This window comes from Homo sapiens, chromosome 4 (genome assembly GCF_000001405.40).
Source record: "Homo sapiens chromosome 4, GRCh38.p14 Primary Assembly".
NCBI lineage: Eukaryota > Metazoa > Chordata > Mammalia > Primates > Hominidae > Homo > Homo sapiens.
In genome coordinates this window covers 44,701,294-44,726,675 of record NC_000004.12, presented here as the reverse complement: position 1 = coordinate 44,726,675, position 25,382 = coordinate 44,701,294, and the positions used below count along the sequence as shown (strand labels likewise).

Genomic DNA, 25,382 nt, shown 5'->3' with positions numbered 1-25,382 from the left:
ACTCCTCGCGTCTCACCTCAGGCGTCCTAAAGGCGGTGCGCATGCGCAGCGCCCGCCAGCCACGCCGCGGTTCCTTCCTGCGCCTTTATCTGCATCCGGGTCCGTGGGATTCGCGCTCCACTGGTCAGCTGGGGTCGCTCTCGGGTGGTTGGGTGTTGCTTGTTCCCGCTGTTCCAGCATCGAAGAACCATTGGGTCTGCCGGTAAGTTTAGCGGGGGGTGCGGCGGGGGCGCCAAGAAGGGGACTCGGGTCGGGGGACCCGACGGCAACTTCGCCCTGTGCGGCCTTTGTGCTGAGACTGGGACGCCGGGCCGGGGCGGAATGGGTGCTCAGGAACCTCGAGGCTGGGGGCGCGTGGGGTCTCCCGTATTGCCACTCGCGGACCTGGTTGTCCTCTCCGGATTTGTGCCTACGGGAGAAGGCGTCCCTGCCCTCTCCTCTCTCGCGGCTTCTTCTTGACACCTCTCTCTACACTCGTTAAAAATTCCTAACAGTCATCCTCATTTGCATTCGCTGTCCTTTGCCAAGTGAGGGCCAGGCAAACGCGCAGCTGAGGGGAATCTGCAGCCCCCGCCTCCCGGGCAGGAACCACAGCCTTCTTTGCTGTCTCTCGTCCCTCCTCGGGTCGGTCCCACACGCGCGGCCAGGCCACCCTTACGCTTTCAGGACAGGTCAGGTTGAGTAGGGAAAAGCTCAGAGCAGAGGTTCTGCAAGTGTAGATTCTGGTCTTGGCCCCGCCATTAACTAGCTGTGTAACTTCACGGGTGTAGAAGTTGTCATCCACCATTGAAGTTTTGCGATTTATATTCAGCAGCCCTTTTTCCTAGCGATGCACATCCAAAATGAATCAGCACCTGAAGGAAGACGAGGGAAAGGGTGGTGCTCTGTTGTTTTTTGATGCTGTCTTGTGATGCCAGAGAATTGCATAAGGCGACAATAGTTTGGATCTCTGAGGATTGGCAAAAACTGGAAAAGTCAAATCTTAAAAACTTAAATGTGGTGAAGAAATTCTTCTTTGCTCTGGGTGAAGGGATTCATTTGGGACTTTTGGAGGTGACTCTGCGCCCTCCAGAGAGTTTAAGAAAACAAAAAGTTGCCTGTACCTTGGTCTGAGAGACTTGCTTAAACTTCGTTTCAGTGAGATGTGTGGTGTTCTTAACAAATTTCACCTGATTATGAATATCCCCTGTGATAATTTGCAAAAGCAGAGATTCCTTGGACTTCATTTCAGATCTTTTGAAACACTGTGTCTAGGGAGAGGGACCTGAGAATCTGTATTTTTAACTAGCATCGTAAGTGATTCTCAACCGGTAAGACATCTTTGGCTAATGTCTCTTTGAGTCAGAAACACTTAGTTTTAAAGCCAGCTCCCCGGGCCACTTTTTAACGTCAGCAATAAACTTCTCGTAGTTGCAGTTTTCTGTATATGAAGAGTGAGAATAATGCTTTCAACCTCAGAGACAAGTGATTCTAAGCCCTTTGACAATAGAGTTAATCATTTTTGTGTCTACAGAACCTAGCATAGTGCTTAGAATATAATAGGTCTTCAAACGTGTGTTGAACTGAGAAAAATAACATGCCCAGGATGCAGAAGACATTGGAAAGCTCTAATGCTTCTCGTCCTCCTTACCTTATTTTTTTTCCGTTTTATTAACAATCAGCTGGCCATATATTCTTGTTAGAAGTAAATATATCTTTTGATGTTCATTACAGCCAATAATTCTTTCTGATTCTTTGGTTTAACTCTAAAATTGTTTTTGACATTAGATTATGGATTATATTTAAGTGGAGGCTGAGTCCAGTTGTTGGACTGAATTTATGACTTACTATGTAATTTATTTTCTGTAAATAAATAATTGTTATCGGGCCAGAATTCTAGATCATGGTGACCATGATTTTTTGTTGTTGTGTCAGAATTCGAAACTGTTACCTTCTTAAAGACATTTAGATTCCATACATTTATTTTAATAAGACCTTTTAATCTCATTAATTTAGAAAATTTGACTTATTACTCTATGTAAAGTGTGTGGGTACAAAACTCAGGAATGCTGAAACCATGTTATAAAAAGCTTGGTATTGGTGACTGATCCATTTAATATAAAAATAAGAATTAAAAATCTAAGAATTATGGGAATTATTACAGAATGTTCAGTAAATGTTATAAGGGGACGTTTATAAACTATTGATGGTAATGTCAGTTCAACTTCTGTAGAAAAAAGTATGAAGATTTCTCAAAGAACTGAAAATAGAACTACCATTTGATCAGGCAATCTCACTACTGGGTATCTACCCGAAGGAAAATAATTCATTATATCAAAAAGATACCCGCATTCATTTTTATCTCAGCACTATTCACAGTGAGGCAGTAGAATAGGGTCTGGAGGCAGAGGACTTAAGGCCAATTCGTGCTGACTTCCTAAAGCTAAATCAAAGGAAAACACCAAGGTCTGGGGGCAGGAAATCTAAGGCCAATTTGTGCTGACTTCCTAAAAGAGAAAACACCTGCGTCTGGGGGCAGGTAACCTAAAGCCAGTTAACCAATTAACGCAAACTTCCTAAAGCTAGACCAAAAGGAAAAAACCCATCTCCCCATGCCCAAGTAGCAAAGGACCAAAGGCTACTCTCCCTACGATCGACTGCCTTCCACCACCTCTCAGATGGAAGGGGAAAGTGCCTTGGATTGTCCGTGGACTAAGCATGGGCCATCCCTTCATCTGCATAGGGAGCCAATTCACCTCAGCCTTTAATTAGCCACGGACCAAATCCTTCATGCAGATAAGGGGTAACCGATAAGGGACCTCAAAAGGAGTATTAAAACCCAGAAAACTTTGTAACCGGACCCTTGAGCCGCTTGCTTGGGCCCACTCCCACCCCATGGGGTGCTTTCTTGCTTCAGTATCCCTGCTTTCGCTGCTTCATTCCTGTGTTTCGTTCCTTTTGTGCAGTTCTTTGTTCAAAATGCCAAGGAACTGGACACCTCACACTCATGACCTTCCTTCCAATAACAACAGTAGCAAAGATAAGAAATCAACCTGAGTGTCCATCAGTGAATGATTGGATAAAGAAAATGTGGTATATATATACACCGCGAAATTCAGCCATTGAAAATGAAATCATGTCCTTTGCAGTAACTGGAGGCCATCATCTTAAGTGAAACAACTCCCAAATAGAAAGAAAAATACCACATGTTCTCACTTACAAGTGGGAGTTAAATAATGTGTACACGTGGTGATGGAAAGTAGACTGATATTAGAGGCTTAGAAGGGTTGGGGAGTAGGAGTGGGTAGATGATGAGAAATTGCTAGGATCATTGTACATTATTCAGGTGATAGATACACCAAAACCCCAGACCTAGTCACTAAATAATATATCCATGTAACAAAATTGCATTTGTACCCCTTAAATTTATACCATTTTTTTAAAAAAAAGGAAAACAATATGTCTTACAGATAACAGAAGCTGTGAGTTACTGTAAGAATGCTGATTTCCACATCTTTCATGGTATAAGTCAACCTACATTGTGTAAAATGGAATTATGTAGCTTTTAAGTGACTCCGATCTCTTAATATACGTATAATAATTTTTCTTAATTTTAGAATAATTTTTGAGGAACTAAAATTGCTTTTTGTCAAGAAATTTCTCCTCCAGAGATGAGCAGTTTATTTAGTTCACTTTGTTTTCTTTTTCTTCTGTTGAATTCTCTTATTAAAAATAACATGTCTAGTGTGATCCTATTGTTATAATTTGAATTCTGACCTTGTTGCTTACTACCTGTGTGACCTTAGTCAAATTATGTGAGTCCATTTCCTCATCTATAACTGGGCATTTTATTTACTTCACAAGATGGTTGTAAGGATTAAAATATGTACACTTGTCCCTAGTATCTGTTGGGGATTGATTCTAGGATCCCCCTTCAGATACCAAAATCCACAGATGCTTAAGTCCCTCATATTGTATGACATAGTACTTGCATATCACCTGCACCCATACTCCCATATACTTTATCTCTAGATTACTTATAATACCTAATACAATGTAAATACTGTGTAAATAGTTGTTATACTGTATTGTTTAGGGAATAATGACAAAAAAAAGTCTGTACCTGTTTAATACAGATGCAAACATCTTTTTCCCCTAAATATTTTCAGTTCTTGGTTGGCTGAATCCTCGAATATGGAATCCACAGAAGGCTAACTATACTTAAATGACCTAGCCCACTGCCTTAAACTCAGTGTCTGCTCAAAAGAGAACAGCTATTACTATTTTTTAAATTCAGATTGTATATGTGCATGTCCTTCTTCAGTAATGTACTTTTAAAAATCATCAGTATATTCTGTTTCAGTGCTCTATTTATTATTTACATCTTTTAAAAAGTTACTGAATTTAAATTATCTGTTTATTATGTAAAGTGTTCTACAATGGACTTTTCTCAGGTTTGAACTTGTTCTGGAAGCTGTGCGTCACCGTAATGAGGCTTGTAATTCTTGATAACTATGACTTGGCTAGTGAATGGGCAGCCAAATACATCTGTAATCGCATCATTCAGTTCAAACCTGGACAGGACAGATATTTTACACTGGGTTTACCAACAGGTAATTAACTACTTTTTCCATTTTATATTCTGATATTATCTAAATTTAATTCTGATGGAATTGAAGGGTTTCTTTTAAGATACTTTCCCCATTCATTTATTGGCATGTCACTAATTGAACATCATAGTATAAAAGGCCAGAAAAATGCATATATATAAAATCTACTATCTACAATGTGTTACTAGTTCTTGTGCCAAAATTTAGTCTCACCTGTCACTCCAAAATGCAATAGGAAATATTGTAACTTAAGTGTTGTTCATATTTTTTGTACATTTTTCTAGTAGTCCTTTGTTTTGGGGAACATTGCTTTTACCATTCATACCAGTTTTTAGTTGATTGGCTTTCTTATTAATCATTAAGAGGTACCTAAGGTATGTACTGTTGCCTCTTAATTTAACTTCACCTGCCTTATAAATCCTTATTAATATAGAAGTTATAAATTATATATTATATAATGTTTATTAGCCTTTTACTATTTGCTTCTTCTATTATAGATGTATTACAAGTGAAAAATATATCTTCATCACAGTAATTACATATTTTATTGAATTCAGTTTTCCATTAAGCATTCTCTTAAAAAACGACTAGGTGGTGTCATTTGATCTTATGGCACTTTATTTGACCCATGATTTTCACAGAGTGTTAGACCTGGAACTAAAGTTGCTCCTTATTGACTACAAGGCATTTGTTCTATACCCCTGAGCCTTGGTTTCCTTACCTATAAGAAAGATAAGGATAATAACTTAAGATGCTGTTTTGAGATTCAGCTAAGATAGTGTATGTGTAAGTCCCTTGTATACTGTAGTCTATAAATTTATAGTTCCCGTGTGTTTTATTTAAACAGACTGTTTTCTCCAGCTCCTCCCCTCATACATGGTAATTACATAAAAACTACAATTGTAATTTTTTCCCACTTGAGTAATTTCCGTGAATGGTACTCTTCAAGTTGATTGTTTTGTTTTGCTTTTTCTCTTTTGGTCCAGGGCAGTAGATCTTGGTGAGAATGGCAAAAGGGTTTTTTTTTTTTCACTGGACACACCAGTACTACACCCCCAGCACCCTCAGTTCTGATATGTGACCCCTTGGGGTTGAACGTGGTTTCTGTATAGTTTCTATACTGTTACCCTTCATTACACTCAGCCTACCTCTGTTAATAACATTGTGTTAATTATGATGCAGAAAAAAACAGTAATTTGAGTGGGGACAGAAAGACTTAGTCTTAAATGTCAGCAGTGCTAAACATCTTTTTGTGTATTTAGATCTACAACGTTTGCTTTATTTTGGGTAGTATAACTGCTAGTAATATACCTGCCAAGTGAGGATCTCTGGAAAACCTTGTTGAAATTTTCCATTACTCTCCTTCATTGACCATCGACAAGTTAATTATGTCCTCTTCCCCCACTGCTTCTGAGACTTGAACATACATGTCGGTAATTGCTTGTACCAGGCTGCATTGTAATTATCTCCCTATCAAGCGCAATTTCTGGGCAATATCTGTTCAATTTTATATTTACTCACGTGACCTTAATGAGCTTGACATTTAAAGGCCTGCATGCTGTGAACCTGATCTGCTTCCCAAAACTTATTCCCACCATCTCCTTACACAGAACTGGGCTAGGCATATTTGACTGCTTGCAGTTCAAGAATAGGCTTGAAGTTGCTGGCTGCTTTGCTTTGCTTTGCTTTCACTCATATTCCTAGCATGTTATTTAATGGAATCTATATGAACTCTGGCACCAGACCTATCTAGATTGGAATCCCTGGTTTCACAGCCATATGACATTTGGCAAATTCCTTAATCTTTTTGACCCAGTTATTTTGTCTTCAAAATGGGAAAGATAATGCCAGTTTCTCAAGATTGTGAGCTTTATGTGAGGTAATATATAAAAACATTAGCGCAGCATCTAGCCACATGGTAGACAGATGTCATCGTTGAACCTCCCGCTCCATCTTTTCTCTGCTCTGAGTTAGTTTCCTCTTTGTTGAAAGTGTATCCCTTAATCAAGACTGAATTGAAATGCCATTTTCTTTTATTGTTCTTCCAACTCGCAAGATTGTAGTCTTTTTTATTTGATGTTCTGCAATACTCAGACTTCTTTTAGATTATTTATAATGTTTTTCCTGTGTTATGGTTATTTTGTACTTGCTTATCCCTATATTGTGAGTTCTTAAAGAAAATGTCTTAATCTTTGTTTTATATAAATCATAGTAGGTACTTGCTAAATTGTGTTAGTAATGACTATTACAAAGCAAATATAAAAATTAAGTTTCTTTAACCAGTTCTTTTTTTTTCTTCAGTCTTTTTTTTTGGCCACATTGATTACAAAATAGAAAATGAATTTGTCACCTCCATTGTGACAGCTCACCTTTTTATTCATATATCCTTAAATTGAGAGACTCCTATAACTCATCTCTTGACACTAAAAGAGAGAAGAGATTCACTTATCCTTCGAGAAAGGAAGAGGGAAAGCATATTTATCCATCTTTTAGACAGGTTTCATGTTAGTGGGCTATAGTTGTTGAGAAACGTAAAATTTTACTACATAATTTTTAAATTAATAATTGTAATTGAAAACAACATATGTGCTTAGCTTTTAGAAAATCTTTTTTTCTTCTGCTGTGTGGTATTTATTTATAGCCTTGTCTATTCTGACATCTCAAACAAGAGGCAGTCTTTTTACTATTCTTGAATTTCCTTTGTATTTGTTTTTGTCAGAGACTGTTTAGTTTTATCAGATTTCTGTATAATACTTGGGTTGGAATTTTTTGTGCAGCCTTTTGTTTTACACTGTTCTGTTTTGTGATGGTGGGTTAGCTAGGAATCAGTACTCCAACTAGGATTGGGACGGCCAGATAACTTGTTAGAAGAATGCAGTCAATCTAGCCTTTCAGTTTGAAGTTAAAATGAAAAAAAAAGTAACAAATTTAGAAAACAAAGATGAAGGCCATCCTCGAGTGGCTAAATATATTTATTTTTATTTTGTCATATCATGAAGCGCCATCTTTTCACATATCAAACTATGATTTTATAAAACAATAGAATCAAGAACTCAGATGAAATATCCTCTTTCCTATAAGTTCTATCTTAAGCAAAAATAACTTCTTTTTCTCACCTTACACATTTTAGCTGATGCATGCTGAAGTTATCAAAAGATGAGAAACAGGGGCTCCATTTAGAAAGCTGTAAGGCTAAAGTCCCTACTCAGTGTTTGCCAGTTGGAGATTCTATTTTGAAAGTAGGGGCAATATTTAAATTTAGCCCTGTTTTCCCTTTTAATTTCAGTAAATGGTCAACACTTGACCTATTTACATATCATTTGTGCAAGAACTCAAGATTTTTTTTTCAGAAAGGGAGATTTTTAAAAAGTCAGTTATATATTCTAGAAGCTTCTAATCTTAGAATTTGTTATAGTATATCCCAGTACCCAACAACTCAAGGATAATTTTCCAAACTTTAATTTTTATTGACAGATTTCCAGCTTTATTCAGCAAATTCTGGTTTACCAAAATTTCAAAGTACTTGTTAGTTGATTATGTATTTAAGTTAATAATTGCCTAATAAATCAGAACTACAGAATATTATTAAGTAAGAAAAACACAGGTAAAGTTAATAAAAAGTTTATTTAATAGATTATTAAGTCATTTTAGAAAATGGAATTTTTATGTCTTTTAGGGAGTACACCTTTAGGATGCTATAAAAAACTAATAGAATATCATAAGAATGGACACCTTTCTTTTAAATATGTGAAGACCTTTAATATGGATGAATATGTAGGTAAGCTATACTTAAATATATTGACCATTATTTGGGTATGTTATATTTGGAATAAAATGAATGTAGTTTTAGAATACAAGTATATTTGAATTTATGTTTTGAATATAATATTAATGTATGAATATATTTCTAAAATGTACTGCTTTCAGATGAGATTGGGAGTTTATTTAAAAACCTGTATTTTTGTGATAGTAGCACAGAATAGTGGAAGGAATGAAGGACTAGAAATCAGAAGCTCTGCATTCATCCTGGGCTCTGCCACTCAACAGTGATGTAACTTTAAGCCAGTCTACTCACATTTCTTATTCTCTTTTTTTCTTAAGGCAGAGTTAAAACCAGTGTTGTCAGGATAAACTAACGTACATGTAAAAGTAATTAGTTAAGTATTTTTTCAAATCAAAAGCTATATTGGTAGCCCTGGAGCTTTTATAATTTATTGTTAACTTGCCTACCTGAAATCTGTGATGCATAGAAACTCTGTGTTAAAATTTAAATATAGAAATGTGTATTTAATGGTAGCATAAATGATAGCCAAAGAAGTGTTGTGATCCCACATAATCTGCACACATACAGGATGAATAGAGGAGGAACATGGCTATCATTTCACTTGAATGGCTACTTAATTTATTTTGAGCTTAACATGTAAGTCAATTTCATTGGTTAAAATTTTGTGTTTGAGAAGAGTATAGTTACTAAGTGCACATGAGCTAGACTTTCTGTGTTTGAATCCTAACTCCTTTGCGAACTATGGGACCTTTGGGAAAGATTCTTGTGTTTCAATTGTTCACCTACAAAATGAGATAATAGTGTTCCATAGATGTTTTATCAATTAATGCATACATTTAGGGTGATTAATACTAGGCATATAATCATATATTCCACATAAGAATGCTTTTAAATTGAATATGGTATAGAGAAGTTAGATTTATTAAATAGCACTTATGACTTAAAAAGAAAAATAAACTTTAGATTTATTTCAGGAATACTTATATTTTTATTAACTTCATCTTTAGGACTTCCAAGAAATCATCCTGAAAGCTACCATTCTTATATGTGGAATAATTTTTTTAAGCATATCGATATAGATCCTAATAATGCACATATCCTTGACGGGAATGCTGCAGATTTACAAGCAGAATGTGATGCTTTTGAAAACAAAATAAAAGAAGCTGGAGGAATAGATCTTTTTGTTGGAGGTATGTAAAAACCTTTTGTCATTAACTGTTTGTTAGTGTTTGAATTAGGGATTTTTAAATTTAAAAAATAAATCTTCCCATTGTGTAATGTAAAGAGCACCTGTGGCTGTCCGTAATACGCGTTTATTCTGCTACTGATTCCTGTTTTCATTTTCTTCAGAAAATAATCTTAAAATTCCCGTCTTAATCTTCAAATTGACAGCTGGAATTGTTTACCTTATGCCTTGAGAGGTAGATCCCAATCCCCGTTAAACTCTGTTAATTACCTCTTTAAAGTTGACAGTTTACCACATCTTTCAAAATGAGTAATATGTTTCTTTACCTAAATGATAGCTTCTTTTTACTATTTCTTTAAAACTCTAGCCAGCCTACTTATCAAATTACAGAGTTTAAACGTTTGCATGAGGAACAGGTGGATTTTAGTAGATTACTTTAATTGTTTCATCTTACTGAGTAATCAGTTAAGAATGATGTAAAACTTTTTACTTACCAGCCTTAAGTTAATATGAGTTAAGCTGTATAATTGTCATAATAAATTCCAAAATTAATGTTTAATTTACCAAATTCCACTTGTAATTTATATATGTGTGTGTATATATAATCTACAGTTAAAAATAAGTTTTTTCCTTTGTAATGACAACGTGGTTTTCTATTATCAGTGTAAACTATCGCAGACAGCTAGCTAATTGCTATAAGAATAGTTCAACATCAACTAAACTAAAATCAAAATTTTTTGCCAGATTCTTTAATATTCAACTAAAAATACTAATGCTGTAAATTATCTGTATATAACTTATTATTAACTTAATAGAACACTGATCAAAATTACATGAATTTGATCTTCAATAGAGCTGTCCTGAGGTTAATTTATACTTGAAGTGGCCAAGTATGGTTGAGATAGTTGATTATCATTGGGGGAAATTTGGTTTTAAAGTCAGACGTAAAATTGTATCCTGTTTTAGCCACTTAGTATCTGTATGACCTGGGAAAGTTTATTGAAGTTCAGTATAGGTACATCATTTGTAAAAGAGGATTAATATTAAACATTCCAAAATTTGTGAGAATTAATCATGTTGTAACATGTATAAAATGCCTTACACAGTGCTTGGTATATAGTTGGTACTCCATAAGTGCTACTTCAGTCTTCTCTTTCTCTCTCAACTGTAAATGCGGAAATAATTGTCCCTTAGAATTACTGAATTCCTTGGGATTTTTACCGAATTCCCTCTAGGGACATCCAGGAAGACTGAAATCTTCTCTTTAAGATAGTTTTTACTTCTACCTAGCAGAGTCAATAACATTTACTTTCTTGATAGAATGGTTGTTTATTGGAGCAAGAAACCAAGTTAGACTATTGCTTTTCAAATTAGAAGGTTATCTGTTTTAAATAAAATTTACTAATATTACTTCAGTAATCCTAGAGAACATTTGCATACTCCTGCTTTGTACGTATGACTCAATTTTGAGATAATTAACCATTTGTACCTTCCAATATTCAGGCTAGACAGTAGATATTTGAGAGTGTCTGAGGGGTGCATAGACCATCTAATCTTTAGATTTTCTAAGCTCCACACCAAAATCTGGTAGAATTACTGGAGTACCACATACTTCAACTGCTTATATCAAAAAATGTTTTCACTCATTTACTATAATGCAAAAAAAGGCTCTTAGTTGTTTGAGGTTCATTATTAAAAGTGGCTGCTTGAAAATATCTTCATTTGTAGACTTTCTTTCCCCCTTGTTAATTTATTGACCTTACATAAGTATGCATGTGACAAATCTCTTGTAGACCCAAAGGTAGGAAATAGATTTTACTATGGGGAATAACACTGATAAGAACACTTGATTTTATTCCTTTGCCTGCCTTCCAGAAAGCATTCATAGCATAAAATAATGTTTAAGCCTGTAATTCTTATCCAAGATGTCTGGTAGAACTTTCCTCTTTCCTTATAACTTTAAATCATTTCGTACTTCTTTTCAGCTAATTTTTTTTGGGAGGGGGTTATGTTTCTTCAGTATAAACCACCTCAGTTCTCCTTTTGAAATAGATGTTGCATAAGTTATAATTATATATGTTTATCACTGACACCACTAAAAAGAATTTGACTTGGTTTTTTAACCAGTTTGTCTTAAGCTTCCTGTAGTTGTTTCCCCGCTCCTCCCCGCTCCCAAATATATTTTAAGAGAGTTCCTGTGCCTCTTACATTAACATCTTCACTGTAGTCATGGATGATCCAATGCCTGACATTTTATATGTACCATCTAAAGGACATAATTGTGCAGAGAGAGAGAAGGATTATTGCATTTTCTTTGAACTTTTCCTTATTTGGGATGCCCTATTATTGGATATGTATTCATGAAAGAATCTCATTTGTTGATCTAGGTTTATCATCATTGGATTTTTAGATGAGGATTGGCATCTGGGTCTTACAACTACCCTTCTTTTGTTCCAGGGTTTGGTTAATAAAAACTCTAAGAACTGTGCCAAATGGGATCAAAATATCAGCTTTATTAAAGGTAAAGTTGAAATAGAGATTGCAGTTTGGGCTTGAAGCCAGAATGGGGTTTTTCACTCCTGCCCTTTGAATTGGAAACAGTAGAATGAGAAGAGCTCAAAAATGTTAATCTGCTATTGCTCATTCCAGGGAATTAGAGCAGAGGTCCCTTTCCTCTGAGGGAAGAGGGAAAGAAAAAGGAGGAAATACATACTCAAATGTTCTAATTCCTCCTCTGATGGCAAACGTGTTCAGAGAAAGGGTAAAAGGTGTATCATGCAATTCCTGACTTAACCCCAGCAATAAGATATACAAACATGGATTTTTAAAAATAAAATCTAGGGCTGGGATCCGGTGGCTCACACCTATAATCCCAGCACTTTGGGAGGCTGAGGTGCGCAGATCACCTGAGGTTGGGAGTTCGACACCAGCCTGACCAACATGGAGAAACCCCGTCTCTACTAAAAAAAAATACAAAATTAGCTGGGCGTGGTGGTGCATGCCTGTAATCCCAGCTACTCGGGAGGCTGAGGCAGGAGAATCACTTGAACCTGGGAGGCCGAGGTTGTGGTGAGCTGATATCGTGCCATTGCACTCCAGCCTGGGCAACAAGAGTGAAACTCCGTCTCAAAATGAATAAATAAATAATTTTAAAAATCTAGTTTTACAATAAAATCTAAATATATAAACTTTTAAAATATCTTAACGCAGTAGTGTCTTGGGTTTTTTGTTGTTGTTGAGACAGAGTCTCGCTCTGTTGCCCAGGCTGGAGTACAGTGGCTTGATCTTGGCTTACTGCAACCTCCACCTCCCAGGTTCAAGCGATCCTCCTGCCTCAGCCTCCTGAGTAGCTGTGACTACAGGCACTTGCCGCCATGCCCGGCTAATTTTTGTATCTTTAGTGGAGATGGGGTTTTGCCACATTGGCCAGGCTGGTCTCGAACTCCTGACCTCTGGTGATCCACCTGCCTTGGCCTCCCAAAGTGCTAGGATTACAGGTGTGAGCCACTGCACCCGGCCTAATAGTGTTTTTAAAAAGTAAAAATAAAAGAAGACAGTGGAGAAAATGTTAACCTTCTGATTTGGTTGCATGCTTGGATTCTTTGCTTTGGTAGAAAAAGGAAATAACTAATGGGATCAAAAGTAAATTAACTGGAATGATTCTAGGGTAACTCACAAACTGAAGGAAAAGTTAAAACAACCAAGTCTTTGGAAAAACAGAGAACCTCAGATCTCAGAAGTAGAAACTCATCAATCTTCTCCCTGCAGTGCTGTCATCCAGTGCTTCAGTTCACCATGCTGTCTTCGTTAACTGTATCCCTGGTCAAGATTCAGATCCAGACAGATATTTTGATTGGCTCAGCCTGAGACAAGTGCTTATCTCTAGACCACAGTCACTTTACCTAAGAGGGATATAGGAAATTAAAATTGTTCCAGCCCCTCTGGTGAGGGGAGCAAGGCAGAAGAGAACAAGGTGGGAGGTGGAATAAACTATACCGAGCTGACCAAAGAATAGCAACCATACATTCATTTATCCAGCCATTATTTAATAAGTGCGTCCTATGTGTCACTTGTTATTCTAAATGGTAATATAGTAATGAAGATAAAGCCCTTACTTTCATGAAGAGTGCATGTACATTCTACCCTTAGAACTGTAGGAACACAGGAATGACATTTACTCCAGACAGTGAGTTTTAGAGATGTTTCATAGAGGTGCTGATATCTTAATTTAGACTTAAAGGCTGAATAAGAATTAGCCACATTTAAAAAAATAATTTTATATCAGGAACCTCAGTTATTCATAGCCAACAAGCAAATACCTTGACCCAGCTCTGTTATTAACCTTTGCTCATAATTTCAGCTTAGCTGTACACTTCTATAAGGCCCAAATCATCAGTGAGGTCAGTAGTAGTAGATCTTAGTAGACTTCATATTTTTTTCCTGAAGCTTGTATTTTCCTGATCCCATCCTTCCCTCTACACATATATAGAGAAATATAAATGTTAGGGATATGTATACCTAAGAGGAGAAACAGAACACTTTTACAAATCTAGATAATTTAATGTCTATAATTAATATATATTTATAAGCAGATACATACTTAATAGTAGAAACAGTCAATGCATATTAACCATATGTAGGTCTGGCCTTATGTCTCCATATTAAAAATTCATAAATTGTTGTACTTTGGCATTCTGTACTTGCTTCAATAGAGTATTCATTTCTTCATTTTTCAAAACTGGGTTACTCTTTGTCATATTTTATCTTCTTGTGGCCTGGGAAAATTTTGTTAAACTTGTGTGCTAAGTGTCAGTAAAATACAGATATCATTAAAGTAAATATGCAGAATATAAATGTAAAAGATATTTTAATGACTCAAGGAATTGGCAGATTTATTTTTTGGCTGAGGTTACCAGAAATGTGACTAGCTACTAGGGTACTTATAAATAAAACTCGATTTATTTATGTCATGGAAAGATTCTTAAGTTTGTGAAAAGAATTACCTTCCATTTCCTTCAAATAAGAATGTCATATTCCTGTCTATATTTTAGAGGTAATCCTAGAATATTAGAGTTGGCACTAGGTCTCTTTAAAGCAGTGTTTTAAAACTGGTTGTCACCCATTATTATATCATAAAATCAATATAGCCAGTCACGTGCAACATTTTCCTTTTGTTAATGAAATGCAATGTCATAGAAAACAGCTTGTATGGTTCCTAGTAAGGGTAAGTATGATTTCATGGAATTCTTGTCTTAATTATATTTTATATGTTTGTGTTGTATATGTGTATATATATATATATATATACTAGATTGCAATATCAAATGTTATTTCTTACAAGGGTTACAGTCAGAAGTTTGAAAAAAAAAAACTGTTGCCCTAGACATTATCTTATCCAATCCACACATTTTTATAAGTGAGGAAACTCTCCTACAGAAAGGTCTACTAGTTAATTGCCCTATCTGGACTACAACCAAGTAAATTAAAGTGTGACTATAAAGATGTCCAAGTTAGGAGTCAGAAGACAGATCCAAGTCCTGTCTCAGTATTTACCCAGTTGTGACATTGAACAAGTCACTTATTTTTCTTGAGCATCAAAATTTCCTTTTGTGTGTTAAAAAAGGTGGAGGAAATGAGGGAAATAGATTTGGCTAATCTGGCCATCTCATAAGATTATTAAATAATATTTGATAATCTGTTGTGATGATGCATGTGAAAGGGCTTTATAAATTATCAAATGTTATATTAATATAAGGTGATACTTAATTTTACTATTAGAATCATGCCAGCTCATTGCTAAACATGTAGAAAACATGGAAACATTTGTTGAATCAATACAGAAACAAATATTTTAATGCAGTAATAGGAATTCAAGTATAAAATAAAACAAGGTGATTTTTTTTTTGTTCTTTAACGCACATTGAACTTTGTGAAACCTATTTACTTCATGTGTATATGTATGTATATTTCTTTTGAAAGGAATTGGTCCAGATGGTCATATCGCTTTCAATGAGCCTGGATCCAGTTTAGTGTCAAGGACAAGATTAAAGACTCTAGCAATGGATACCATCTTGGCAAATGCCAAATATTTTGATGGAGATTTATCAAAAGTGCCAACTATGGCTCTAACTGTTGGTGTGGGGACAGTGATGGATGCTAGAGAAGTAAGCATTAAATATTCTTTGCTGTCTTTCTTTTCATGTTAATATATTAATATTTTGGAGGAGTTATGATGCTGAATAAGTGATATTTTGATTGCATTCTATTTGCAGTATAAATTGTTTTCTAGTTTTCAGTAACCAACTTTTGTCAGTCTCATTGACATGTTTAGGGATCAATTAAGTCTTTTGGAGCTGTAAACTAAGAATTAAGCACCACCACTTTTGAGGTACTATTTCACTTGCCTATTCCTGCTCCAGTTTGAGGTCCTAAAATCTTACTGATCACATCGTTTGTTTTTTATTGAAAGTGTCTCATGACAGGACTGTTGGGACAATGATGCAATGCTAGTTACACTACATCTTTTTTGGAGCTCACAGGATGATTTAAATGCTTTTTGACTGTATGTTATGTAGGATGATAGAGCCCTGTTGGTTTCCAGCAGAAAAGGAACTCAGCTAGGGCTGCAACTGTTCTACATTTGGCATATTTAAGCATGGAAGAGCTCTGAACAGAAGACCCTGTGTAATTTTTAAGTTTTTTTAAATTGGGCTGTCATTTTCTTCCTTGAGAATACAGAACACATTGTAGTCAGTTCGTGGTTATATGTAGTTAAATTATATGGAAACCCAGAACTCTGTTCCTTTCTGGTAGCCAGATTGGACAGGTTCAGAGGAAAAAACTATAGACAAGGTATGATGAAAAAGTAACTTATCTTGATATAATTATATTTAAACTTGAACATACTAATAGAACTGTCAATCAAAATATATGAGAAACCTAGAAATCATAGGTATATGAATAAAAGACCTTTCAAGGACTGAAACTTCATAGTCAATAAGTTGAAAAAAGGATTTTAGAGCAATCTTATTTCTAAAATGTGAAACTGAGTTATGTAATAGATTACATTTAACAAGATGTAAGTTTTAATACAGTTTTTATGCTGATTTTTAGAACAAACAATTACTCAAATATTGAGTTTTTTTCTTTGGGTCAGTTTTTGCCCAGACAGGAGTGCAGTGTGTGATTACAGCTTACTGCAGCCTCAACCTCCAGGGCTCAAGAGATCTTCCCACCCCAGCCTCCTAAGTAGCTGGGACTTCAGGTGCACACCACCATGCCTGGCTGATTTTTCAATTTTTCATTTTTTTTTTTTTGGAAGTGACAAGGTCTCACTGTGTTGCCCAGGCTAATTTCCTCATTTATTAAAAATTACATTTGACTTAAAAATTCCAACCAAGAAGGGATGGTGGAGGATTTAATATGAGCTTATAGATTTTTGTAAATCACTTATATCAGTTTATGGGATGATTAAATGTTGATTATTCTTTAAAATTAGCTTATTTCATAACCTTTTAAAATAGTGTTATTGCTACACTTAAGTAGCAAAAAGCTGTATCAATGCAACATCTGCCTGAGCACTGGTTGTCAAACATTAGTGTACATAAGAATCACCTGGTATCCACACCTAGCTTGCTTCTTTAAATTTAGGGATTCTGCAGTTTGAACAAACATAACAAATTATTCCATATAGTTTGTCCTTTCCCATGATATGAGAAATAATCTCCTTGAGAGTAGAACAGGTATGATATAACTAATCACATATCAGATCAAGTCTATTTAAAGACCAATTTGTTTTATCTATGCCTTAGCCATAGATAAACACCAATAATGAATTCTTCATCCTATACTAAGCTTCCCTTCCAGCAGCCTCCTTTCCCTCCACTCCCTTCATAATGGTAATGCCAGGTATGTACTTACCTTTTCTCACCAATAAAAGTTTAGTTGTCTTTTTTTTCCTCAGTATATATACTTCATGTTGAGATTTCTTGCCACCTGTCCCATTACCTTTTTAGAGTGTGCATCCATAATGAAAAGACTCTTAGCTCATATTGTCTAATTGTTAGAACTTTTACAAGAGGCAATGTAATGTAATTGTTAATCGCTAAGAATATGCACTGTAGAAAAAAACTACTTGTTTGTATCTTACCAAAACCTTGGGCCAGTTACAGAATATGCCTCAGTTTCCTTATCTTTAAAATATGAGTAAGAATAGTATTTCTCTCATGGTGGTGTTTTGAGGAGTTGAGGTAATTCAAGGAGAGTGCAGAGTATTTCCTCCCATTTTAGGTCTAGTTATAAAATATGTAATACAAAATTTGTTATATTTTAGAACTACAGCAATTTTAACATTGTTTTTTAAAACAATTGTAATGAGGAAAAAAAGTTTAAAGATTATATTACAAAAATATGTGTGTAGATGAGGTGTTAAATGGGATCAATTTCCAGCTTAAACATGATAAAGAAAAGATTCCGACACATACACATTCACATTTGCAACATGTCATTGCATTATTTCATTGGCATTTAGGGCCTGGGGACCAAGAGCTTGGATTTTCTGTAGCTTATAAGGGTAATATCAGTCATATGTGATTATAAGACAGTTCCTATGTGCTTATAAGACAGTTCCTATGTTTAAGTAGATCCCTAATCCTTTTTTAAATCCAGTTTTTATTCTGAGTCAACTTTGAATAGCACATGTTCAGTGAAATGCTCTTCAGGCTTTTCTTGATAACTCTTCAAATTACCTGTTGTTTTAGAGTCTTTGCTTTTCTGACATAGTATCTTTTGCTTATCTAGACTACAGCAACTTGGTGTATCATTCTAGATTGTATAAATTATTTATAGATTTGTAACTCTGCTTTTGCAACACAGTCCTTTTGTTTCTTTTTCTTCATTGTCCCAGGTTTCTTTTATACATCATCATTCACTATGTTAAAAGTTACAGGTATTATAGTGTTTGCATTAATAACCCATAACAAGATATTGTTTTGCTTTGTTAAACTAGAAGCAACATTTTGTGCTTGTTAATCTTAAAAAGTAGAAATGAATACCTTGAACTATTATGTGGAGCTATGTATTTTTCTTTCTCTCAGAAAAAAATATTGGTGCTTAAGTTCTCGTTTAAAAAAAATAGAGCTTCTTACTCATTTGGAACAAGTTTTAACAATTGATGTTCATAATTTTTCAGGTAATGATCCTTATAACAGGGGCACACAAGGCATTTGCCCTGTACAAAGCAATAGAAGAAGGAGTCAATCACATGTGGACTGTTTCCGCTTTCCAGCAGCATCCCCGGACTATTTTTGTATGCGATGAAGATGCTACTTTAGAATTAAGAGTTAAAACTGTGAAATACTTTAAAGGTGAGCACTGAATTTCAAAAGCCGACTGAGATAATCTGTTGTGAGTGACAATTAAAACTTACTGTGACTGTGGGGTTAAATCTCACACTGTGACCTATTGAAAAGTGGCAACACATAGCTAGTTCTTTCAAGTAATGGAAAGTTCTCACCTCAGATAATAGTATCTTCAAAGTAGTACCTTTTTTTTTTTTTCATGAAGAGAATCTCTTCAGTCTCTATTTTCAGTAAACAATTTTTCTTGAAATCCAAGGTTTAATAATTTACTTTCATATTGAATATACAAGACCAAATAACCCAAAAGAAAATGTATCTTTGTCCATTCTGGATTTCTTTTCATGTTTACTAGTCCCACCTCAATCCCTCTTCCTCACTCCCCTCTAACCTTAATTTAGAACCTAATCAGTGGATAAGAGATCTCCCACTATCTAATTTAATCTTTACAATTTTAAGCCAATTTATTCCCATATATTAAAGTTATAATGTCTAAATGTTAAAATAGTATGGAATAAACTCTGCAAGTAAGCAGGAGTTTGATTGCCCAGACTTCATGTTGATTTTCCTTTTTCCTGTAGTCTAGTTCAGTAATTCAGAAACCTTACTCTACCAGGCTGTGTATTACAAAACACATATGCTTGATATAATGGTTTTAAGAGATTTTCAAGGGACATTTTGCCTATACCCAATGTAGAACCTATTCTCTGATTTAAGAGTCAGCTCCACATATTACACATATGTAAGCAAACTGTACAAACAGGTAATTTTCATAAAGCACCTGTATTTACATAGCTGATATTAAAAGTTACATAGTTGATCATATAGATAGGTCAGTGATTCACTATGTAGTATGTATGCTACTTTTGCTACATGATTATACCTTTTAATCTTTTTTACTCTAGTAACTAGGTATTTATTTTAATGCCTATTGGAAAATACACTGAATAAATCAAAGCTATATTTTTTGGATATTATTGCTTAAGACAAGGTCCAAAAAAGCTACCATATTTGATTGGCTCTAATACACGTTGATCTTGCTGATGTTGGACTGTGTCTTAAAACTGGTGTCAGATCATAGCTTACTGGGTAGCATTTTTTTCTCAGTGGTACATAAAATGGTGTGTCTTACAATTTATAGCATCTCATACTCAGAAATAAAGTATATAATCTTAAATTTTTAATTCAATGCAAAGAAAACCAACTCATATTTCATGTATATGTGTGAATATGGCAAATATCTTGAAGGTGTTATACAAATAACTGACATTTGGCAAGCACTGAAAATAGTCTATTTTTAAACAAAATGCTGATCATGCTTTGTATATAGTTTTGTATTTGTACTTATGTTTCATGAGCATTTTCCTGTTTTACTAAATATTTGGAAGCATTTTAATGGATAGTTAAGTACATAAATCATAATTTATTTAAACATTTCCTTATTAACACTTAGATTATTTCTAGTCATTTATATTTTTACCATTTAAATTACTAATTTACCAAGCCACAAATATATCAAACTGAAAAACTGAAAAACTGAAAAATTTCTGATTTGTGAATAAAAGAGCATTTGATGGAGTTTTAACTCTATTTTCCCATGTAACCCTTCAGATTTCATCCCAAATAATAGATTCCTTGACTACAAGGAATCCTCACTATCCACAAATTTTAATTCCAGTTTTAAGGAGATTCATTTAACATGGCCATTTTCTAGTCCTCATTAAGTCCCAGATAAATCCCTGTACTAATCTAATTTTGTCACAATTAGGTTTTTATCAGATTTTTATATCTTGGTGAATATTTAATAAGATATTTAATAACAGCCAGTATCTCTATGACCAGGCACTATTCTAAATGCATTTTACTTATTGATTTACTTATCACAAAAATGTTATGAAATGGGTATTCATAGTCCCATTTTTAAATTAATAGGCTTAACAGACAGAGACGTTAAGCTACTTACCCAAAGTCATACAGCACATATTTGGGCAGAGCTGGGTAATAGAAATCAAAATCAGGCTGATCTCTGGAGTATGCAGGCTTTTGTCTATTCTATTATACTGCCTCCCAGAATAAACTCTAGGTATGATACCATCTACATCAAAACCATATTTCCATCTGCTTTTTTCCCATATGATAATCACTGCTTCCAAAAAAGGTATATCGACATATGTTAGATAATTTAAAATAGAAGGGTGGTAGATGTTTATATGTATTTAGTTCTTTTAGTTCATCTAATTGTAAGCTCTTCTGAAAAATTTTGAAACAGACCATTCGTGAGAGGATAGCTGCACTGCATCAAGAGGACACAGTATTTTCCACTTTGGAGCTGTCTGTATTTCTGAAGAGGTTTCAGGGTATCAGCCTGTTAGGATACCTCCTTCAATATGAAGACAGAATTTAGACATTCTGGGCTACATATGGGCCTCATTTTACAGCATTTTAGTAAAGGGTAGAGAAATTGAATATTCTTAAATAAACACATTTCAAATGTAGTTTGTATACTTTTCATACCTCCATTGAGTTACTAGTATATCAAAATACTGGAGGATGTAAATTCCTATAATTGTCATCCATAACTCTTCAAATTCCATTCACATCACTACCCTTTCTTCTGTCATCACTAAAAAGTGCTGACCAGAATCTTAAAGGGTTTTATTTAGTGCCTAGATAAGATCTAGGTTAACTAGATCCAAAACAATAAAAATTGTCAGTAAATGCAAGTTTATTTCAATATATACCTATATAACGGTATATACCTTTTGAAAGATACAAGTTAATCACAAGACAACAAGTTTAGTACGTGGGGATTTGTTTTATTCATTCTCGCTTTTCATTTTTGCTTTTTAAATAGAACAGCTTTGATTTTTAGTATATGACATCATCATCATGAATTTTTTTCTCTTACTTTGTATTTAGGCTCCACCTCAGTAGTTTGACAAAGGTAGAATGAGTTCATTTTGAGTCAAAACCATAAAAGTTACTTTGTATAGACATTGGTTAGAATCTGTGACATTTAACCTTTCTTCTGGTAACGTTTCAGGAAGTCTGGTGCATTTTTATCAGAAGAATTATTTCTGTTTGACTTAAGTAGCAATTATTTATTTATATAAAATTCGTATGTAGAAAGTTGTCAGTTTTTACCTAAAGTCACAGTAAATATTTGACTTAATATCTAAAAAGCAATTAATAGAATTTTCAAAATAATTATTTCTAGTTTGGAAGCAGTCCTATTTGATGTATAAAAGATATATCCAATGTAAAGAAAAAAATTTTATAAAGGAGTTGAATTTTTAATATTTACTGATATTTTAATTTGCATGTATTTTAAAGCTCTGTGTATTCTTTCCGTAATCAAAGTTGTTAGCAAATGACAGATGAATACTATTTAAGTAGAAAAACGATCCTCTACAAAGTGATACTCTGGAAAATGTTGCATCTTCTAAATCATACAGCTGATATTACCCTTATCTTTGTTGTCCCCTCTCCTACTGGACATGAAGTTTCAGGTGACCTTCAAGTAGGCTGTTGAGCAGTTGCAGGACTAGTGAATGGAATGCTTCCCCCTTCCCTCCTTTAGAGTCCCATTCTTATGGTTAGAATTTCTCCTACTACACAAACACTTCCCAGTACTCTTTGCTTGTCCCTTAAAAGTGGGTCTTTCTCAAAGCTGGGATTTTAGAGTCCTTTTTGCAGCCTTTCTGACAAGGAACATCTGTTTACTAACAAGCAACCTATCTCTCCAATCCAGTAATCCCATTTCCTGCAAAACCGCATTAAGTGCCTTTCCCCACCCTCCCATGTTCTTAATACCTGGAAAACTTAACTCATTTCTTTACCCTCCAAAATATAAAATCTCTGGTTCATTAACTGGGTCAGTCTTTTTAGAACTTTTTTCTCCCCAAAGAAATATAGTACTGAGGCATTAAAACAGGAGTAACTGGAAGATCAGCTATTTCCCAAGCAGCTTCCATAGCTAAGAGCAGTCTGCAAGTATATGTACCAATTACAAAATGAAAGTTATAATCTACCGGATTTAAAATCGTAATTTCTATTCTGAATTAAATGATTTAATACAGGTTGTTTTCTGTCTTGTTTTAGTAACCCTCCCTCAGTGTAGAATTTGTAATCAACCTTTGTCATAAATACACATGCCAAACTATTGGAAAGTAATTTACCAGACGAATGGATAGGGTAATGTATTAAGAGTGAGACAGCAGTTCTGAGCCCCTGGCTGGAGTCTAGTAGAGGAACTGCCAGAGGATCAATATCAACATAGACTTTTAGATATAATTAAAACCTATTATCTAAGTCAGTATTCAAATTTGTCATGCTTAATCTCTTTGAAGACAAGAAATGCTCTTCTGGTTACTCCCAAAGTACCTGTACACATTCTAGATCTGCACTGTTACATAATTATAAATTGGTATTTGCTAGGTAGATAAAACTTAAGACATTCTGAAACATTTCTATTTGTACTTTTTCAATAAACTTGACTATATCAAGATGGGAACTAAACAGGCTTACTGTGTCTTATAAAAAATACTTTGTTGTCTAAAGTAAATGAGATAGTTCAAAATTAATAAAAACAACTAGAACTGTGCTTTTTTTCTTTAAGGTCTAATGCATGTGCACAATAAACTTGTGGATCCACTATTCAGTATGAAAGATGGAAACTGAAGGAGACTGGAGCAAAATTCAGCTTGAATGAACAGAGCACTTTTTACTAAGTAGTAGATGAATTTTCAGCTATGCAATATGACAAAACATGGGGAATTTTGAAGATTGTCATTTTTTCATTCGAGTCTCTATGTTAAACATTCCATATTTTGAATATTTATATCTTGTACTTGGGTTTAAGAGAAGTAGCTGGCTCTCAAGATTGACTGGCTATTTATTATAAAGTACTGAAGTCACATAGCCACCTATAAAACAGCATAGAAATGTCTGCCTGTTTAAAAAGTCATTTTAAAGGTAGAGTGTCCACATCAGGCACCATTTGTGATATGACTCCAGTGGCGTATATTTCATTTTTTAATGACAAGACACTCCAAACCTTTCAGATAACAAACTATCATTGCAGACCTTCACTTTTGGAATGCAATCTTTATATTTTCTGTGCATCACACACATGCTTTTCTGCACGTGGTTGCCTTAGTCATCTTCCTACAGCACCATCTAGACATCAAAAATTGTGCTATATATCATTGGTAAAGGAAATTTGAAGAGATGACAGTGCCTAAAAGTACAGTTTACATCCTTTTGGAAAGTATGTGTAAGTGCATGTTTTTTGTGCACCTTCTTCTATAGCACTTTTTTACAAATATCTTATTTTTATTTAACGACTTGGGTTCATGTCCCTAATATAAGTATCTTGACAATTATGAGCTTTATACCTAGCAAGCCACTTCAGGAAATTCTTTTGGAGAATATTTTCTGATTATTGTTAAACTTAATATACAATTAGCTTTATTCCTTATAAAATGTCTAAAAGAATAATACGAAGTATATATAAAAGGAATTACTGTAAACTACATTGCCATAGCAATTTACATAAAAGTATATTGTTTTTTATCTTTAACTCAAATAAAGCGTGTAATAAATAAGTTATCTAAATTTCCAGAAGTGAACCTGAAGAATACATGCATTCGACTCCCAACAATTATAGTACATGTGAACCTGCATTCATTTTGGGTTTGTTACCATCATGCATTAGGAGAGTTAGGTTAAAAGATGTCTTTGCCTCTGTGGGGAGCAAAAAAATGCTCCTTTTGCTTATTTTGCATTTCATAAGCCCACCTGGTAGAAGAAGCCTTACTTATCTGCTTGTCTATGTGATTAAAATGTAGTTTCTTAAAATATTAAAATAGCAAATAAATTAATGAAATAAAATTGGTAATAGGGTTTTATGGTTAAAAGTGGGGGATGGGGTAAATTATGCTGCTTTAATTCCAGATGATGTTTTAATAGCCTTATAAATGTTTTTTAAATAACTAGTGAGTAACACTCCACTTACACTTCCAGTAATAAGAATCATTTACTACAAACTATGCTGACTACCTTAGAAAGTCATACAGCATCACAGTGAAAAAGCTAAAGGTACCTGTTGTGCTACATGATTCACCAGTAATTTCTCTGCTTTAAAGGTCTAAAAATTCTCCTTTCCATTTTCCTTCCCTTGATGTTAGGGGCTTAGTTGAGGTTCATGTACTCAAGCTCCTCCACAAGCTGAGGAGCGAAAACTCTGGCCATTTTCATTCCTGCTTTCATTCCCTAAATTGAGGAGCTAAGCTGCTGTTAGGCAAAGAACCTAGCTTTTTCAAGAAACCAACCACTGAATCCCAGCTCTGTCAGGGAAATAAAAAAGTCTCAGCTACTTCCCCAAAATTTTTACATAGATTGAATAAGGGAAGCATACATAGCTCAGCACAGTGGTTGTCACATATTAAAGTCAATAAACGGTGCTA

The 25,382-nt window shown here is 34.6% G+C and overlaps 1 protein-coding gene across 6 annotated transcripts, besides 1 other annotated feature; it reads left to right on the top strand.

The window, feature by feature from the left end:
- On the top strand, nucleotides 120-24,881 carry GNPDA2 (glucosamine-6-phosphate deaminase 2). Of its 6 annotated transcripts, none has more exons than NR_073094.2 (7): nucleotides 120-202; nucleotides 8,266-8,367; nucleotides 9,381-9,563; nucleotides 12,017-12,080; nucleotides 15,539-15,723; nucleotides 18,750-18,924; nucleotides 23,534-24,881. NR_073094.2 is itself a non-coding variant. In NM_138335.3 (7 exons), the coding sequence occupies exons 2-7, from the start codon at nucleotides 4,469-4,471 to the stop codon at nucleotides 23,593-23,595; spliced, it is 831 nt and encodes a 276-aa protein (NP_612208.1). In that variant the 5' UTR covers nucleotides 120-202; nucleotides 4,434-4,468; the 3' UTR covers nucleotides 23,596-24,881. The 6 variants fall into 6 exon arrangements, 3 of the variants coding, with proteins under 3 accessions (NP_612208.1, NP_001257810.1, NP_001257809.1); NM_138335.3 differs by lacking the exon at nucleotides 12,017-12,080 and adding an exon at nucleotides 4,434-4,592; XR_007096361.1 differs by lacking the exons at nucleotides 18,750-18,924; nucleotides 23,534-24,881 and adding an exon at nucleotides 4,434-4,592 and having other exon boundaries at nucleotides 15,539-15,621.
- Nucleotides 410-704: a silencer, noted in NCBI's record as "tiled region #4028; K562 Repressive DNase matched - State 1:Tss". NCBI's record gives its function as "represses a minimal TATA promoter and a strong SV40 promoter by Sharpr-MPRA in K562 cells {active_cell/tissue: K562}" and the evidence as "EXISTENCE:reporter gene assay evidence [ECO:0000049][PMID:27701403]".

Bases quoted from the DNA above. Each gene is read 5' to 3' on its own strand.
- GNPDA2 (NM_138335.3), top strand. From the start codon at position 4,469: ATGAGGCTTGTAATTCTTGATAACTATGACTTGGCTAGTGAATGGGCA. The intron at 9,564-15,538 runs GTATGTAAAAAC...TTCTTTTGAAAG, and splicing joins AATAGATCTTTTTGTTGGAG to GAATTGGTCCAGATGGTCAT. The intron at 15,724-18,749 runs GTAAGCATTAAA...ATAATTTTTCAG, and splicing joins CAGTGATGGATGCTAGAGAA to GTAATGATCCTTATAACAGG.